This window comes from Homo sapiens, chromosome 18 (genome assembly GCF_000001405.40).
Source record: "Homo sapiens chromosome 18, GRCh38.p14 Primary Assembly".
In the NCBI taxonomy this organism is placed as follows: Eukaryota; Metazoa; Chordata; class Mammalia; order Primates; family Hominidae; genus Homo; species Homo sapiens.
In genome coordinates, this window is record NC_000018.10 from 63,764,775 (window position 1) to 63,785,249 (window position 20,475).

General features: G+C 36.7%; 1 protein-coding gene across 5 annotated transcripts in view; it reads left to right on the top strand.

Annotated features, from left to right (window-relative positions):
• SERPINB7 (serpin family B member 7) overlaps positions 1-20,475 on the top strand; it is a 52,314-nt gene that overhangs the window by 11,718 nt on the left and 20,121 nt on the right. For 2 of the 5 annotated variants that reach the window (NM_003784.4, NM_001261831.2), the window contains exons 1-2: positions 10,644-10,942; positions 17,581-17,766. In NM_003784.4, coding sequence (NP_003775.1) covers positions 17,599-17,766 — 168 coding nt within the window. In that variant the 5' untranslated portion in view covers positions 10,644-10,942; positions 17,581-17,598. Of the gene's footprint in view, positions 1-9,979; positions 10,004-10,643; positions 10,943-13,006; positions 13,052-17,580; positions 17,767-20,475 lie in introns of those variants that run through there. The other 3 variants (XM_024451278.1, NM_001261830.2, NM_001040147.3) reach the window with 3 other exon arrangements.

The following is a 20,475-nucleotide window of genomic DNA, read 5'->3' on the forward strand; positions in this document are numbered from 1 at the left end:
AGTGGTATATTTGATTAACCACTATTATTATTATTACATGTGTGTATCATCACCTCATATCTAAAGACTACAGAAGGCAAGAAAATAAAACAAAATCAACTACCAGAAGAGGTGAGTAATTAGGCATTGGATCACAGAGTAGGAAAGGAGTTTCTAAACATAAACCACAGAAAAAATGATATATTTTTCACTATGTAAACATATAAATTACATCTATGTTAAAATTATCAACAGAAATTTAAAAGACCATAAACAAATTGCAGAATTTGTTTATGACAAATAAAATCTTCTGAGCTCTCTGTGATTCCTTTGTTTTTTCCTTCATAGTCACCTCCCACAATTGTAGATTCAACTATGTGTGAATAGCCATAAGCACCTCAAACTTAAGTCCCCAAATCTCATTCTCTGCAATATTCCACATCTTAGAAAAATGTTACAAACTCTTGTTCAATTACCAAAGCCATAAGTCCAGATGTTATCTTGTTTTTTTCATTTTCTTCCCTTTCCTTATAAAATCCGTCAGTGTAGCCTGAAGATTCTACCTCCTAAATTTATCTGGAGTACATTTTCTCCATCTCTGATGGCACTCCGTGGTCCACATCACTATTATTTCTGGCCTAGTCTGTTCAAATAACCTGTCTTTTGTTTGTTTTGTTTCCACTCTTGTCCATCTCTGATTTGTTTTCTAGAGCAGCTAGAGTGTTATTTTTTAAAAAGTAAGATAAGAATAAGCCATCTCTTGCTTAAAATATTTCACTAGCTTCCCTTCCCATTTAGGATAAAATTCAAATTCTTTCTGATGGCCTATAGCCTCTACACAGTCCCTGGTTTTCCTCATCCTATGCCACTCTTCTTGCTGTTCTTTATTTCTAGAATGCTCTCTCCCTTCCTCTCCTGCTCATATACTGCAGCTCCATTCTTATATTTTAGATCCTGACTTAGATTTATTTCCTTAGAAATGCCTCGATTGACATTACAATCTAAATAAGTGATTCCCATCCTATTATTCTCTTTCTAGAAACCGATTTTTTTCCTTCATAGCACTTATTATTTATAGCGTGTGTTTAATGTATTAGGATTAATTTGACAGGTTTCAAGCAGCTGAAAAACAGCATTTTTTCATGTAATTAGAAGTTTAGAGTTAGGTAAGGGGTTGCTGGTCTTGCCGTTAGTGGCTCAAGGCTATCAGGGCAGATGTCTCTGTAATACCTTTGTTCTTTCCTTCAGTGTCTCTGTCCCCAATCACAAGGATGCTGCTCTACCTCCTGCAGCCTACATTCCAGGGAAGAGCAGTGAAGAGCATAGGATAAAATGGGCACCTAACAACTGTGTAACTCCTCTCTTGGAAAAGTTTCCTGGAAGCCATAGACAGAAGCTTCTACTTGCATGACTATTTGTCAGAATCTAGACACATGTTCCTCCCCATCTGCAAGGGAGGAGGGAATTCTTTCGTTTGTTTTTAAACTGGGCACAATGGCTTCTCCCGTTTCCCATTAGTTTTCTTTCAACTAAACAAAATTTAGTTTCCTTTAAAAGAAAAAGAGGGAGAATGAATCTTGGGTATTAACATTCTTGGATACAGTGTGTATGTTTGTTTACCAAATTCCTGTTTTTCCTAACTTTTAAAAGAAGAAATCATGTTTTATTTTTTCCAAAAATGTATATACCCATGGCCTACATTTGGGTAAGCATTCAATAAATTGTTCGACAAATAAAACTTACTGAGAATCGTGGCATAGCACTTCCTGAACTTTCCAGTTCTATGTTGAGGTGGTCTAGTTTGCACTTGAAGGCTAAACTTTTGCTCATGCCCTTGGGGATCATTTTGCAGGAATGTTCTTCTGAAATTGTCTTTCTCTTTCTCCTTCACCGTCTATTATTCTTCCACTAGATGATTCCCAAAGCAAACAAGATGACTTATGATCTCCCAACTTAAAAAGATATATCTATATGCTGATTGCTACCTTCCCAACCCAGCCCTGACTTCTTTCCTGAACTGGATAAAACTATCTGTCTGACATTACCATCTAAAGGCTGCTCAAACCATTATCAAAACAACTTTCAATTCCCTCTAGTCATCTGCATTTTGGTAAAAAGCAAGGCAACTAGTTACATAAACCAAAGAAACTTGAAGTGATTCTTTTTTCTACTTCTTTCATTACCTTCCACATCCAATCAGCAAGTTCTGCTAAATACACTTTCAACTTTGCATAAATCCATTACTTTTCTCCATCTCCACTGCTACATCTCTGTTCACAGCATGGTTAGCCTTCTCCTGTCCTATGCTGAGTAAGAGTAGAGGCTGTCATTCCAGGCCACTCTTGCTGGATAACCATGGACCTACACAGGTCCAGTTGGGGACTGTGATGTGAAAGAATAGAGGCAATGGAGAGAAAAAAAAATATGCAGAGATTTCTCACACATTCGCCGAACTTTTTAGAGCTCTCTTTTCTGCTACTCAAGCCAGCACCAGAGGGCTTCTCCTGGATTTCACTCTGTCTGCTTCACAATACTCAATTCAGAGTTCTGGGGTGGGCTAAGTTAAATAAATAAATGTATTTATTCAGGATGGGAATAATAGAGGGGAAAAAAGTTAAGCTCACCATTGTCTTGATTGTATTTAGAATTCTGTTCTTCCCAGATCAATCTGTTGATATTTGCTTTTTAGAGTTTTCAAATATCCATCTACACATTCTGTCCAGGTCTTATAGTTGAGTCTGTGGGAAATAAAAGAAAGACTGTGTTTCCTCCCTCGCCTTTTCCTTGGAGTGTTAATAGATTATACTAACATGCTTTCTAATATTGAACCAGCCTTGCATTACTAACATAAATCCTTCTTGGTTGTGATGTATTATAATTTTTATATATTGCTGGTTTGATTTACTAATATTTTATTCTGGATTTTCCAGCTCATAAATGAGCTGGAAACTGTTATTTCTCATTTTCTGGAAAAGATTGTGTAATATTGGTGTTATCTCTTCTCTGAATATTTGGTAGAATTCTCTAAGAAGACCATCTGGGACTTGAGATTTCTATTTTTGGAGTTTAAAACTACACATTTAATTTTGATAGGTATAGAACTATTCAGGTGATTTGTTTAATATGGGGTGAGTTTTGGTAGTTTGAGATTTTCCACAGCTTTGGTCTAGCTTTTCTAAGTTGTTAAATTTATGTGCTTAAAGTTATTCCTAGTGTTTTTAAAAAAATTCTTTTAATATCTGTGAGGTCTGTGAAGTCTGAAGGTCTCTTCCCTTCCTGATATTGAGAATTTATATGTTCTCTTTCTTTTTAGTGACAGTCTCGTTAGGGGTTAAATCTTATTGATTAATTTAGGAAATTATCTTTTGGATTAATTGATTTTCTGTATTGTTTTTATTGATTACTGCTCTTTTCTTTATGATTTTCTTGTTTCTGTTTGTTTTTGGTTTATTTTGCTCTTGTCCTAGTTTCTTTAAGTGAAAGTATAGATTATTGGTTTGAGACTGTTCTTCATTTTTTTTTATTCTGTAGATCATTCTACCCTTTTTTTCTTGCTTATCTATAACCTTCTGCTCCAATAGTGAGAAAATTTGACTCGCACCATCTTTCATCCATTTATTTCATCACTCCATTCCACTATACATGTATAATGATATCAGAATTATTTACCTATACTCCTGTGAGAAACACCTTTATTACTGGACCACAGTGCTTATGTGCAGTTTCTTTTGCCTTTAGTCTTACAAACTCCACTCATTTCCAAAGTCACTTAGGTTCATGCCTTTTCCCTTTCAGTGAGTTTGTTTCATACATTTGTGATACAATTAGATATTTTTGTTACATTTTGCATGTCTTTCTTCCTATTAAGGTTTTGAAAAGTCAGCTTTATTGAACTACAATTATGCATAATAAATTGCATCAATTTAAAATGTAATTCAATGAGCTCTGACAAATGCAAAAAAAATTGCCACACCCAGGAAACCACTGCCACCATCAATTCATAGAATGTTTCCATCACCCCCAAAACTCCCCAAGGTCCCTTTGCCATCTGTCCTCCCTCCAGCCCTGGCCCCAGTCTACTACTAAGCTCTTTGTTACCATAAATCAGATTATGGTTTTGTTTTAGGGATTTTGAGATTCATCCACAGTTTTGAATGTATCAATAATTTGCTCTTCTAAAAAAAGGACTAGTATTCCATTGTTTGGCTATACCACAATTTATCTTTATTTTATTTAACACCTGTTGAGGAATATTTGGTTTGTTTAAAGTTTTTAGCTATCGTGAATGAATGAAGGTACTGTAACACTTATGTACAAGCACTTTTGTGCAAATAATCTTTCTTTTTCCTTGGGTAAATAACTTGGAGTTACAACTCAATGACATAATGTTAGATGTTTTATTGGTGTCTCACAAGCTCTTAAAGAGAGATGAACAGAAAATTTGAAATTAAATGAAAAAGAAAAATTGATTGAAAAATTTCTGTTGATCTCTCTAAAAGTTTCTTTATTTTTTCCATCATTTTCATTACTACATTTTGATTTTTATTATTGTATTTTTTATTCTAAAATTTCTATTTGCTATTACTATCTATTTTCTATTTTCCCACTTATTATAAAAGTGTCTGAAACCACTTGTTAGAGACTTTTTAAAATAGCTGCTTTAAAATCCTTGTCAGATAATTCTAAAATCTGTCTCATCTTGGTGTTGACATCTGCTGATTGTCTTTTGCCATATGAATTGAGACTTTCCTGGTTTTTGGTTTGACAAGTATTTTGTATTATGTCCTGGACATTTTGAGTATTATATAATGAGACTCTGGTTCCTGTTTAAATCTACTTTTTAAATAGACAGCAATGGTTTTAATGATAATTGGTGAGTTCTGGTTTTAATGGCAATTTAATTGTCAAAATCTTTGTAGTCCTACTCTCATCTGCCCTGTTTTTGCACTACCCAGCAGTCAATCTGAAACTGTATCATAATTTAGTCAACAAAGCTTTTGCTCTATTGATTCTGTTCATTTTCACAGATTAATGGAACAGTGGTGAACTCAGGACTTCATATACAAATTTAAATCATTCTTTTCTCCATCTCTCACTTCTTTATGATTGTCCTCAAACCCTCTACCTGGGAGGGGAAGGGGTGCTACACTTTTGCTAGTGTCTACTTTCTTCAGGGTGGTAGTTGACAGGATCCCACCTCACGACTTGGTGCACACAGTGTGAGTGGAAGGGGAAGGGCTTTGTTATCTGTGTCTGCAGTCACCATCAAAGGATGGAGGCAGGACATTGCCGCTTCTGCTTGTGTTTGCTTAGTGTAGAGTGGGATTGTCATTATGGTTCTACCCTACAGTTTTTACAGCAACCAGGCCAGTGGGGAGGATAGAGGGTGTTGCTTCTCTTGTGGCATCTGCTTGTAGTGGGGTTATTATCATCCAAAGGATTCTTCTTCTTTCCGGACCTCTGGTTAGAGAGATTTTATCCCTGCCTCTATTAGTATTATAGCTGCAGGGTGTGGTTGGCAATAGCACCTAGGCTGGAATGTAAAGGAAAACAACAACAACAACAACAAATGTAATACTAAGTGGCCCCTCAAGTCCTGAGATTCCTGGCCAGTCTTCCTTCTTTTCTTCCCCTTTTAGAGTTTTCTCATAGTTACTCTATGGCTTTTGTCCAGAAGTTTTAGTTGTAATTAGCAGGAAAGAATATGGTGGAGTGTGCTTTTCATATCTTGACCCCAACTGGAAGCTATTGTCATTATTATTATTATTAAATTCTTGTAATTTCAGTTTCTATTTAACTTTTACTCAGGAATTAATGACAGGATTTTTACTGTCCATGTGAAGGAACATGTGAGTTTTTCTGCTGTTGTTGATAGTAAACTCTAGTTTTATTAAATGTGATCAGAGAGTATTGTTTGTAATATTTTTCCTTTATTAAAGTTACTGATATTTTATTTGTGACTTATATGTGATGAATTTCTATGCATGAGCCATGGGCATTTGAGATGAATGTGTTCTCTACTATTAGGGTATAGAGTTCAATAGATTCATATTTAACATAATGATTATGTTGTTTAAATCTTTTACAACCTTACTTTATTTTATTTCCAGTCTGCACATGCACACACACACACACACACACACACACTCACTCACACACTCACACAGAGAGATTCCATAAAATTTTATTCATCTTCGTTGGAACAAAGGGGGCTGATAGTCTGAGATGTTGCCAGAGTGGAAGAAAAACTGAACTTCCAAAAGATGTGCATGCAGTTTGCGTGGTGGGGTGGGGTGGGGTGGGTAGGTCACATGGCACTGGGTGCTTTAGGAATGGGGATAATGTGAACATGTACAAGAAAGTAAGAGACAAAAGGGAAAGGGAGGCATAATTGTTGTGAGGAAACTGCATTTGAAGAGAGACGAAAGGTATTTAGTTGCTGATGTGAGTGAAAGTTCGGGGATGGGAAGAAATATTTTAAAAGAATGTAGGAAGTACTTTCGATGTTGGCATGCTTTGTGAAATCCTTAGGGAGGTCTCTTCAAGGAAGCCTAAGTGAATGAAATGGGATTTGTGTTTTCTTTGAATATGGTTTCCTGCATAGACTGGATCCTGGTGGCTCCCAGTTTTTATTCTCAGGTTTTACTTTTATTTTATATCTTATTTATAATGATTGATAGAATTGTAAATGAAATGACCACAATAAGATAAACTTTTAATAGTTTCCTAATCTTATTAGACTTCCCATTAGCTTATACTTATTTCATGTGTTCTTATATGTTTCACATACACAGAACATATTGTTTTTTTCTTAAAGACAGAATTGATACATGCTATTGCAACCTCTGCCCGTAAATTAAAGGCATCCTTCTAAGGGTTCGCACGGGTTGGAAATTTATTACTCCAAAAATAGTCAGGAAACTACTCTGAGTTGAAAGGGTTTACTTTTGTTTTTGATAAGGTTATATATGGGATTCTCTGTTTCTCATAGACCCTTATGAGAACAGATGGACTGTGATTTTTTTAAGCAGATTTTGTGGGGATATTTATGAATAAGTCAAGATAGTAGCCATATTGTCTTCTGACTTCTAAGGATAAGTTTAAAAGGATGTAGTGGGAGACAAGCCCAGAAATGATCAGGAAGGCTTCATGGTTCAAAAAGGAAAAAAAAAATCATAGGCACCCTAGGATCTATTTCAGCTGCTTCTTTTTTTTTTTAACTTTTATTTTAAGTTCAGGAATACATGTGCAGGTTTGTTATACAGGTAAACTGCATGTCGGCAGGGACGTTGTATAGAGATTATTTCCTCTCTTAGGTAATAAGCGTACACTTGAGGCTGGAGGGCGGGAGAAGGGAGAGGATCAACTGCTTCTTATTTGAGAAAGACACAACACAAACTTTCTGAGTCCTACTTTTCTCATTTGTAAAATGGGAGACTTCAACTTAAATAATGTCTAAAGTTTCCTTTAGCTTACTATCTATCTATCTATTAATAAAGGAAAAAATTGGATATATATTTACTTTCAAGGCCACTGAATTTGCATATTTAATTAAAATTAAAGTGAGGATTTAAGCATCACTCTGCAAATGGAAGAATATAGGTAGAGGTTTTAAAGCTCCCATTTACAAACCCAACAATAATTTTAAAGGATAAGAAAATAGAGGCTTGTAGGAAAATTAGATACATCATTTATATTTAACTTTGCCACTGAAACTGGTCAAGGTAAAGCTTAATAAATTTAAAGGTTTAGAATATTTACTTTTTCATGACAAATAATGACATTCAAAACGTGATGATAAAATAATTTAGGAGGTGAAATGGGACCAATTACTGCATTTCTTTGGGAAGTTGAAATCCTGAGGTAGAAAGTGAACTTTAATTTGCTTCTAAAATTAGATTTGGATTTTGTTTAGAAAACCTCCCTGTGTTTGTTCATGAATCTCATAGAACTAAAAGGTTTAACTAGAAAAGGTAGCACTGATAACAATAGTGATTCTTCAAGAATTTTCCATTTATTATTATGTTGGTTGGGGCCACGACAACGTGATGAAATGATGTAGCACAAATAAGTGGAAACCAACAAGGCCTCCTGCAGTTGGAATTCTGATCAGAGAGATGATAGGAAGTTCCGCTGATTGCATTCATTTAAATGCATAAGGACAATATTATATCATGTTATTTATTGCCAAGTGAAAGCTGCGATTATTCATGTCAAAAGTAAAAGAGAATCAGAAGAAGGAGGAGGAATTATAGCAAAAAGAGAAGAGAGGGTAAATATTTACATGTAAACAAGAGACATAGAGTAACTGAATTCCTTTGTGTCCTGCCCACAGTAAAACGACAAAGAATACATCAAGAAGTAAAAATAGACCTAACATGCAATCACTTAGAATGAATTCACATGATAGAATCTGCAATTAAGCCATGGAACTTGCCACTACAAGATTTTCTTCAAATAGATAGATTAGAAAGGTTAGATTTGGTAAACAGAGTTTATATAAAAATTTCAATGTCTGGAATTTGGACCAACAAAAACCATATCAAGCAAACAAATAAAACACAAATGACATCAGCTTCCAGGGAATAGGTTTATATCTTTTAGGATGTGCAAAGAATATCCCTAATTTGGAACATTAAGTATTCCCAGGTCATTTCCATTTTCTGGGCACTACACTAAATCTAGCACCCCTTACCATGCCCTCGCCATTAGTATTCGGTCACCAAAGAATTCTTATATCTTCAGCCTAACTACAGAGCTCTATGTAACCAGAGTTCACAGCCTTCTCTACTGACACCTCGTGTAATCCTGAATTAATCCCTAGTAGTTTCCTTAAATCCCTCTTCAGCCCTGGGTAAGTGAGGACAAGAGACAGTAAAATGTAGGTTATTACAGTTCATGTTTCCTCATCTATATGCATGAACTGGCAAGGCCAATGGAAATTTGGATTATCATTGTATGGCAAGGGAGAATAATTAATGTAACACGCCAGTCCACATGACTGCTTTCTTCTCATACTTATGTCACTTTGGGATTGGTTAATTGTAAATCAACTGTTGCAAACACAGTAGTGGGAGGGATGTCTGAGTTAATGTGAAGAAGAAAACAATGGTGAGTAGAGCCTTAATTATGGATGACTCTTGGTAATTCCAAGAAGATTATCCAGTATGTGTGTCACGTGGGTCCCTTGCCTTTTACCTATTGACCATTTCACCACTTGAAAGTACTTTATATCCTCAGTAGGTAAGAAATAGAAAGGATATGGGATTCAAAATATTCAGCCTATGAACACTGCAATTAGAATATGGAGAACAGGGAATCCATTTGTAGGCTCATTTTTTTTTTATATTAACAACAACCTTCTCCTTCAGAAAGTTCACCACAACTGCTAAATCAAAATTAAATTTCAGGGATTTTCTGCAACTTTACTTTTCTCTATGATTATTCTACTCATAAACAATCATGGAGGTGAGCAATAACTACTTTATTCGATTTTGGATAAGTTAACAGGACCCCCTTCTTCCTGGGAAAGAGGCAAAATTGCACAAAATTGAGAGGCGAGCAACTGTAAGATGATGGTACCTTCTAATTCCAATAGCTTTTTACAATAGAGAACCCAGTTACTTGGATAAATGTTGGCTGTACTTTTGAAAACACTCAGGCAGAAGGACCAGGCTTGCAGTCATTTCCATGCATAGCAGGTGAAGGTAGGTGCAACATACAGCTCAACCTCATGATGCTACGGCCAGAAACTGAAATGTGTTTTTGCCCCTGTGTGGCATGTTCTGATGGCAAAGGTGTAGGCAACCAACTGGGCCCAACCTACCTTTCCCTACACCTGGTCACTTTTCAAAGTGCAAACCCACTTTAACAAACTCTAGCCTGTATTATAGGAGGAAGGATCTGGGTGGTGCAGACGTGGCTTTCCATTGCCAGATCAGAAGGGTGGAGGAGAGGCTGGCAGGATGACAAGAATGAATGAACACACCAAGTTTCAGCTCCTATCTGAAGCTGCTCAGTTCAGGTAAGCATTTAGAGAAGCCAGTTGCAATAACTAACAGGGCAAATGTTTCTCTGGAAAATTCCAAGCCAGAGAAAATTGAGAAAAAGAGGGAAGGATGGAAAGCAGTACAAAGAGAAGCCAGCTCAAAAGGTTAGAGGTCCAGATGAAAATCTGAGATTGGAGAATGATAAAAAACATTGTGTGAGATTCTATTTTAGGTCATTATGCTAGGGAAATTTACACAGGATAGGGTTGAAAGAAATTAGGCTATAAGATGAGTGGCAAGTTGCAATAAAATGGCACCCTAAACTCACCAAGTCACTGTTGTCACTGCTATCTTGCCTTAGTTGATTTGATGTCTAGTTAGTCTATTTGTGTGTTTCTCACAGAAGAGTATGTTTTGACCCAGGCTGACAGATACTGTTGATTCTGAAATTTGTTTTTATGGTTATGTTAAAACCATTGTCATTATAAGAAACAGAGATGGGAATATTGCCTCCTGAAATCTGATTCACATACAAACTGAATGAACTACATAACAACCACCTTAGTCAGATACTATTTTGAAACCTGGTTCAAAACCTAAATGCTTATAAGATTCTTGAGAGACAGTGCTGTGCTCTGAGTCATAGGGAAGCCATCCCAGAAGCCAGGTCTACTCATCAATAAGCAGCTGCCTGTGCAGAGTGCAGGCTGCACCTTTGGACAGCCTTTAAAACTGAATTCTCAGAATTTTAGAACAAATTTTTGTCTAGAAATGCTGACTTTGGTTCATTAGGTAGTGGTAAAACAGGCTCCCTTCGAAGCTCTCCTTCATCACCTTCCTAAGTGCATGGGGGAAAATACCTAGGGCTCAACAGTCTTGAGAAGTGTGGAAACATTTTCTTTGTGAGTGAGAACAGATCACCTAGAGAAAGGAGACCAGATTCCCATCACTGCTTCTGGGTATCAGATGCTAGCGTGAGTACACTGTTGATTTGCTTATCCAATTATTGATTTACATTATTGCTCTTATCTTCTGTTGTAGGCAAGAGGTAAGTTCACTAACGAATCTCAAGGAAGATGTAAATGGCCAATGATCATGCTCAGAGGCCTGAAATCTCTCCAGGTCGCCTCCTTGGAGGGATGCTTTTCTGGTGGGGCAGCTTTTATCACCATACACAAATGTGCTTGGGTTTGGATTCTGCTGGAGAGAACACTGTGACCCGTGGTCTCTTCCTTGGGCCATGTCAGTCAGTCTTGGACTTATTTTGCATCCTATTCTTTACCTCACTGATGCCTGTGTATCCTTGGCTTGGTGTCCCAGCCCATTGTCCATCAAAACCTGCTATCAGGAATAGATCAATTATCAGTTATACACAATGCGCCATGACCCTATCCCAGAGGCATTAGGTCATTTGGCTTCATGTTTTTTTTGTTGTTGCTGTTGAGTTTTAAAATAATGAAATATAATGTAGCTACATAAAGATGAATTCAATAGATGCATACAATTTAATAATAGAACATCACCAGAACCTCTAAAACCTCCCTCCCCATTCTTTCACCAACAAAACCTCCCCACCCACTAGGGGTAACTAAAGCAGTTATATCCGTGGCTTAGTCTATCCACCCATGTAAGCATCCATTAAAAAACAGTTTTGTCTGGTTTGATCTTTTCATGAAGGGCATCTTACTGTGTGTATTCTTTCGTGCCTGATTTATTTGCCTTCTAAACCTTACTTCTATCAGTGGCGTGGGAGCTGATGGCTACTGCTGTGGTGATTTCAGACAGTCTTGAGAAGATGAGGGTAGAGTTTTGTGGTCAGAAACCTTCTTGTGTGCCTTAAGATAGTGCGAATTGAAAGACCATGTCCTGGTATGAAGCATAGTTTTTGGGTATACTAGATAAACCAAGGTCTGTGAGAAGCTCTGGTAGACAAAGGGAAGAAGTGGGTCCCAATGGACGTCTAACAAGGACTGGGGGGTTTAAATCATTAAGACTATGATAATTTTATCCACAGTTGATCTATAAAGTGTACTATGATATACTTTTCACAATGTAAGCTTTCTCTGGAGTTAATAATTATCAAATTTGCTCATTTTTTGGATATTTATTTGGTTTCTAAGTTCCTATCACTAATGTATTTCTTTTCTGATGGGGGTAGATATCCCTCTCCATGTGTTCAATATATTCTAACGCATCTCTCTCTCTGATAGCATATTCACCTTAGAGAGCTTCAAACAGTCAGCATACTCAATTTTAGCATTAATCATACAACGAAAATAAAGGCAGTATGGGCAAACACTTGTGGGAAATAATGTGTAAGATAAAGTCAGAAACACTATGTGAGGTACAACCCTACTTCTCTTGAGAGGGACAGCTCACCTGCCTCCCTTAAATACAATGTTCCCCAAATACAGCATAAATACCATGTTAGTGATTATACACATACATAGCAACACACACATATATATATGTGTGTGTGTACTAATGAAAATGTAATTGGTGTGAATTTTTATTTTATGGATGAGAAAAGGCCCACTCTATTCTATAGCACTTTGCTTTCTTCACCTCTCTGGGACTGCAGTGCTACTCCTCTATGACAGTTGAATTTATAGATGTCAGAATATGAATTATTCCAGGTGGGGCTCGGTCATATTCATCAAATACCAAAATCAGAGCAGGGAGGAATCAAATAAACAATAACAAAAATCAGTAACTACATTTCCACATGTAAGAAGTGCCAGTTGTGCCTTAATGTAAGGATATCTAAATTTACTACATAAAAATACTATGTGATACTAAATATCAAATGAAATAACATTTCATGCTAAAATTTGATTCATTAAAAATATCTATTTGACTACTTTGAATTAGAGCTATAGCTAATATTCTACAGACTTCTTTTAAATTGCTCTATAAAGCATCTGAATATATTTATTTTAATGACATTATTTAAAACTATCATGGCCATCATAAAAAAAAAAGTAGGGAGTGTCTGAGTCAGAGGCTTTATATTTCAGAGTAATGCAAAGAACTCTTTCAGACTCACCCAACCAGCGGCCAACTTCCTCTATGAAGACAGTAAGGTAAATACTTCTGAAGTCCATAATTTAAAGTCTGGCCAGATCCTTTGAAAAAAGACACACACACACACACACACACACACACACACACACACACACACACAGACACAGAGAGAGAGAGAGAAATAAATCTTGGTTACTTTGTGTCTGAGACATTAAACTCATCACACAACATCCAGATCGGATAATGGTCCTCTTGTCTGCTTCTCCACCTTACAGCTTGTCTATGACTGATTTAAGTGGTGTCATGGGAGAATGGCATGGGAATCGGATGCCAGCTGAAAAATTTGTGTTCCATCTTTGAAGAGATAAGTAGGGATTATGTGCAAATCTAGATTCTATATTTCCTGTGTTCTTATTTAAGGCATTATAGGTTGGAATATACTAGATTTTGAGATTAGAATTGAACTCTTTTAAGTGCATAATATACTAATTTGATTAGAGGTTGATCAAAATTTGAAACTATGTTTTTAAAAGAAATACAAAGATTTTAAAATATTTCTTCCAAGAGTATCTGTATAGCATCGTATTTGACTTATTGATAAGAATAAAAATTAATCACATTCAAGGGATTATTCATTTCTTTCCTATATGTATATCCTAATTCAGTAAATATAAAAGCTTTTTTAAAAAATAATGTGTCATGAACTATAATTAATTTTCTATATACAGGCAAAAGTATCCTAAGACTAGATAATACTTTTATCAAGCATTTAAGGCACATAATTTATCAGTTAGGTGTAATAAGTTTAGGTCCATAAAATAGTATCATAACTTTATGTTTTATTGAATGTGTTTTGTGCCTGAATTTTCTTATGCTTTATTTAAAAACTACTTTTTGCTTTTTATTAAACTTTAAAAAGAAGGTTTAGTGAGAAAATATCTATTTTTATTGTTGTTTTGATGCTAATAATATATTAGCTAAAGGATGAAAGGGATAAAAAAGTTCTCAGATTGAAATAGACCATAAGGAATCAAATAGGCTTCAGGCTGCCATGGACTTTTAGACCCTCAAGTCTGAAGTTTGGGATGTAAAAACATCCATGAGTACGTGCTAATTTGTGTTAACTTTAAAATTATAAATTAATTGCATGCTTGTTTGTTAAGCTAAAATATTTATGCAAGAAACATAAGAATATAGTATATTTTTAGCAAAATGAAAAATCAGACTTTAAAACCAAGTTCTTTTATGATTTGAAAAGAACTTTCCTGCATTGCCATGTCCAGACAATGAAATACTGGGTGGTGTCACACTGACATCTTCTTTAGGTAGCTTTAATGTGGTTGTTTTCCTTTTCAATTTCCTTAGTTATTTAACTGGGACTCAAGTCAATTGGTAGCTGTTGGTGGCTGTTGGTGGCTTGCCTGAACTTAGTTTATTTTTGTTAATGTTTTATCTATTTAAGTTGCTTTGAAAGTATTTATAGGGAAAGGAAAAATCACAGTTTTGGTCTCATGCTAATTTTTATTTATGTGTCACCTGATGAAAACTTGGAGGTATAAAACAATCAGTTCAGTCTTAAATATAATTGTTTATTTGCCAATAAGAATCAGACTTTATATCAGAAGAGGAGAAACAAATCTTACTTTTATTCCTGGAACTTAAACAGTGCACCTGCATAGAGAAAGATAATAAAAATAATTATGTGAAATGGAACATACTTTTTGGTATTTATTTTAAGCATACATGAACATGTCTGTACAAGAATGTTAAAGTATATGCTAGTTAGTATCACCTATCATTTTAAGAGTTATGACTTGAGAATTCATAATTATCTAGGAATGTCTTGGCTCATGTTTCTCTGTCGTGATTTTTTTTTTCTAGTATGGTTTCTCTGCCATAAAACTTACCTAAGCTAAACATTTATGTACTCTGTATCCTGAATGAATACATTCTTGTGTAGCTTCTCTTTTGTTCAATAAGATTATAATTTCATCAATAATTTACCATGGAAATAGGAAGCCTGAAATTTTAGAAAATGAAAATTTGTGATTGGTGCTTAGAAAGTAATTAAAGAATACTATTCAAAAGTATAATTTTTTTTTGCCCCAAAGGATAAAATAGTAAGGCATAATTTGTAAAACAACAAGAAGAATTGGAACTTGAACAAAGAAAAATGTATCTTAAAGTATATTTTTGCACTTTGGGAAATGATAGCTTCCAGACCCCCATTGGCCCGTGCAAGCAGGTTTCTAAACAGGGTCATTTAAAAACCTTTCAGGTCTTATTTTAAAAACTCTAACTCACATTTTATGAAAACATTAAAATACACCCAATCTTCTATTAAATATATTTTTCACTGTAAATACTTTGAAAGGATTAATATGACTTTGCTTTTGAAGTTACTTTCCCAAGAACAATTCATTTCATTTACTACTGTCTGATTTTCGGCAACCAGCATGAAGCCTTGGAAATTCTTTAGGATGGAGAGAATCTAGCACACAATTTCCTTCTAAAATTAATGAAATTCTTATGAATACTAAATAGAAAAATCAGCATAGATTTCATTTTCATATATTTAATTGTAAACTTGTTAATTTTGATCTTATTTTTTCATATTTTAGAAGGAATACTTATCTTTAGGTCAAAAATATGAATTGAATCCCTTAAACATTTGAGGGCCTTTAGCACTGCTAGTATCACTCACTGTATAAAGCTGCCCTTTTCCTGCCAACTCGCATCCTGTATACCTAGTCCTAACTTTCATTGTTTCTCGTCTCCTTTGTTGCAAAGAGTTTCTCCTGTAGCTTTAATCACAATTGCCACAACTTTTTACCCGGGATTGCTTGGATTAGATATAAAATCAACATACATTTTTTTCTGGGTAACTTTTGAAAGAACATAGGTGTTCTTTCTTAGAGTAAAGATATGTGGGGTGTGAATGATTTTCTCACCTTATGTGCCTAGGGTGTAACTGAGGAGTATGACTTATAACGAATTCTATATAGCTGAATTTGACCCTGAAAAACAGCATCATGTAGGGTGTCATGCCTCAGTGGTGTTCTCTGTGCTTGGAATTCCAAAGAGCAGAGTATGGGTCCCTCAGGGACATTCTTTCTGGAAATGTTTGCTGTCTTTTAGGACAGAACAGGCTATTACCACTTCACAGAGAATAGTAAATGCAGCAGCTTCAACTCATTGAACGTCTACTCTGGATCATGCATTGTACTAGAAAAGTTTTTTTTTAATTTTTTAACTCAAACTCCCATTTGACATAATAAAAGTTAAAAAACTTATTTTAATTTCATTTACAATTTTAAAAGGCCTTAAGTATTTGCAACTGTGACAAAGCCAACACAATGGCAATTTTAGAATGTTCTTCTTTCAGACTGCATGGCTCTCCCTCCTTGTGACCCCCTTCCTCACCCACAACATGCCAGTCCCCAGATGCCTATGTGTGCTCTTCTTATGGAGCAAAAGGTACAAGGAAGCATGATTTTCTGTTGAGAATCGCTATGCTAGATCCTGTACATAGATCATCTCACTGAACAAGATGAAACTTAGAAGTTCAGAGAAATTAAAGACTTGACCCAGTTCACACAACTATTAGCAACAGGGTTGAGACTTGGATGAAGTCCCCTAAGGGTTTGTGACTCCTGGCATCTGCAACACCTGGCACCTGCCACACCATCAGATGTAATATCATTGGACATTCATGAGGAATAATTTGGAGAATTCATGTAAGTTCATGTAGTCTGAGACAACCCCAACTGCTATTTTGAGATCAATTTGAGTTGAGGAGAAATTCTGCAAAAAAAATTACCCAAGTGGATCCCTGAAGAATTCCATGGTGGTAGCAACCGTCTGTATTGCAGAAACAACATCATGAATTTGAAGATAATCTCCACTTTGTTACTGCACCCTGGGTTCTCTAGGAAGAAATAGGCCTATGTGTTGAAAAGTCTTGTACATGTTCTTGATACATACTCTGATAATCACACTTTGCATTCCAAAAAAATCAGAAAATGGTTTTAAACAAATTAATGCACTTATGGGACCAATGATGCATAATACTTAAAATTAGGACAGTTTTGAAAAAAAATAGAATGTATGATTGTTCTAAGAATTTACAGAGGCCTTAATGGAAAGAATGGGTTAAAAATGATGTGTTAAACCTCAAAAATTTAACATTGTATTGAATTACAGATGGTTTAGAAAGCAAAGGCTGTAGTGCCTCAAATAGACTGTCTAATATTGTAATATTTACTTTTGCTCTATTTCAGTTCAGAAATCTGGGGTGATTTGAGAAATAGTGAGCCCCATGAATGTGTCTGCTTGGGGGTTGGAAACAGGCCACTCACAGGCCACTGAGGACAGAAATGTCCACCAACGAGAAGAGATAGTTTTAGGGTATTAGTGACAAGGATACTGGGCCAAGGGAACTTTTCCCTTTTTGTTAGAGTTATTTGATGATTACCTCCAAGGCTGAAAAAAAATGAAGCTTTAAATTATAAAAAATAAATAAATCTAAAAATATAATATTCCTAGAAAATGTACCGGGAACTAATTTCATTTTCTCATTGTCCTCTAGGCTGCACTCCATTTTGCAATGGCCTCCCTTGCTGCAGCAAATGCAGAGTTTTGCTTCAACCTGTTCAGAGAGATGGATGACAATCAAGGAAATGGAAATGTGTTCTTTTCCTCTCTGAGCCTCTTCGCTGCCCTGGCCCTGGTCCGCTTGGGCGCTCAAGATGACTCCCTCTCTCAGATTGATAAGGTCAGTCTCAGCTTTTGCAGTTAATCACTGGGACAAATTGTTTTTCCCACGAGAACATTTCGTTGCAATGGTCCCCATGTTAATGGAGGTCATCATGAGGCACAAGGTGTCACATCTTCACACATCTCCACGAGGCCCTCTTTGGGTGTGAAGAAAGCACACAGCTTGCAGTACTTGTTTTTGAGCCAAGAGGCAGCAGAAATATTCCAAGTACTGCAGCTTTGATGTTTTCCCTCAGTGCAGTGGTTCTCAAAGTGTGTTTCCCAGACCAGGATCATCAGCACCGCCTGGAGAACTTGTTAGAAATGCAAATGCTGGCCGGGCGCGGTGGCTCATGCCTGTAATCCCAGCACTTTGGGAGGCCGAGGCGGGCGGATCACGAGGTCAGGAGATCGAGACCATCCTGGCTAACACGGTGAAACCCCGTCTCTACTAAAAATACAAAAAATTAGCCGGGCATGGTGGCGGGCGCCTGTAGTCCCAGCTACTCGGGAGGCTGAGGCAGGAGAATGGCATGAACCCGGGAGGTGGAGTTTGCAGTGAGCCGAGATAGCGCTACTGCAGTCCAGCCTGGGCGACAGAGCGAGACTCCGTCTCAGAAAACAAACGATCAAACAAAACAAAAAGAAAATAAAGAAAGAAAGAAAGAGAGAGAGAGAGAGAGAGAGAGAGAGAGAGAGAGAGAGAGAGAGAGAAAGAAAGAAAGAAAGAAAGAAAGAAAGAAAGAAAGAAAGAAAGAAAGAAAGAAAGAAAGAAATGCAAATGCTTGGGCTCTACCCCAGAAGTACTGAATCAGAAACTATGGGTGTTGGACCCAGCACTCTGGGTTTTAATGAGCTCTCCAGGTGCACATGAAGGGTTGAAAACCACTGCCTGAGTAGATACAGTTGAGATAGGAGAGTTAGAAGGAGATTCCAATGACATCCCAGTTTAAGCACTGGTTACCGGGGCACAAAAACATCATAGTACATTCCAGATAATAGCAGCCTACCTGAATAGTCCTCACATTGTCATCATCACCACCTTCACCGCCACCTTCAGGGAGTGCTTATTAACACACCCGTGCACACAGCTCTGGGAGCACTTTATAGGGAAGTGGAATGGTCGTTTCCCTCCCTTCTCAGAAAATTGCCACTGAAACTCAGTAGCTCAACAGCAGGTGAGATGCCAGGTCCAGGCTGCATGCAGAGGCCTTGATGTCGTCCCTTTCTGCCCCCACCTCCCTGTGCCCACCTCTTGCCCCACTATTCCTCCCATTATTTTAGTTCTGAAGGGCTTGCCAGAGGAATCTGGTGCCTGTTGTAACCTGTCATACCTCAGGTCATATGGAAAACCATTTATGGGATAATTTAAGCTAGAATAATTCCTTCCTTTATCTGAATAGCTCAGTAAATATTAATTGCTAGAGAACAACTACAGAGTCTTAGACTGCTGTTTTTTTCAAGCGCTAGAGCGGTTTACAACCTAGTACATAGGATACAACACTTTAATGAGATGATAGTAACAACTATCTGCTGAGAACTTAATCAGTGTTCAGGATCTGGGATAAGCCCTAAGAATATGATCTTATTTGATATTCACATTGACACACTGAAGTGGGAATATTACCCTGATTTTATGGAGGGGTGACCATACTGTGTGCTGGTAGATGGCGGACCTGAGATTCAAACTCAGGATGATCTTCTACAACTGGTTTTCTCAACTTTGGCACTATTGACATTTTTGGCTGGATAAATCTTTGTTGTGAGGGGCTGTCCTATGCATCATTTAGCAGCATTCCTGGCCTCTCATCAACAACTACCCGCAGCATACCCCTCCCCCATCATGACAACCAAAAACATTTCCAGATATTTCCAAAGAATGCCCTCAAAAGCAAAATCAGTCTCCAGTTGAGAACTGCTCTGAAGCCACCAAACTGAAATATAGCTCAAAGTACATCACTGTGAAGCTTCAGTATTTTAAAGTGGGTATTTTGATAAATAAATATAAAGCCCTTGAAAAACATTCAACAAATAAAAATTTATTCATTCATAAAAATGCATAATGTTTCAGAACCAAGTGAGATGATTTGGTATCATGGAAACATAGCCTTGGTCTGGGAGTTAGAAGATTGGGTCGAAGATCTGACCTTGGGAAAATCATGTCATCTCTGTGGGCACTAGTGTCCTCACCTGTGCACGGAGGATGCTGATTTGATGATAAAACAAATAAAGAAAAAAACCTTACAGTTGTCACTGTTCAATGTGTTAGACAATGATGTGCAGGCACCATGCCTATGACTAAAGCTTGATTTTAATGCAACAGAAGACACACGGCTCTTACCTACTGTGTGCTTTCATGTCAGGAGCAATCTTTCAGCTCCTGTCTGGTACACCTTCTGAAGTCTCCTTGCCCTGCACCTCATGCCTGGTGGGCCAGGGTCAACAGCTCATGAGTCATGGTGAACTGAGAGAGCTGCTGTTCTGCTGGAGTTTGCTCTGTACTCTTTACTGCCTCATCAATTACTCTCATGTGTGACTTTTTATAACTCTTACTATTATGATCTTGCATGAAGAAACATGTAAGAGGAGAAAAGGCAACTACAGACACAAAAACATTCATCTAATTTATCTGCACACATTTTTAATCCTCTGTAAATGTCTTCTAGGAAATTAATTTTCAGCTTCTCCCCTGCTTCAGTTGGTTTCTCATTACTACACTCGACCCTTG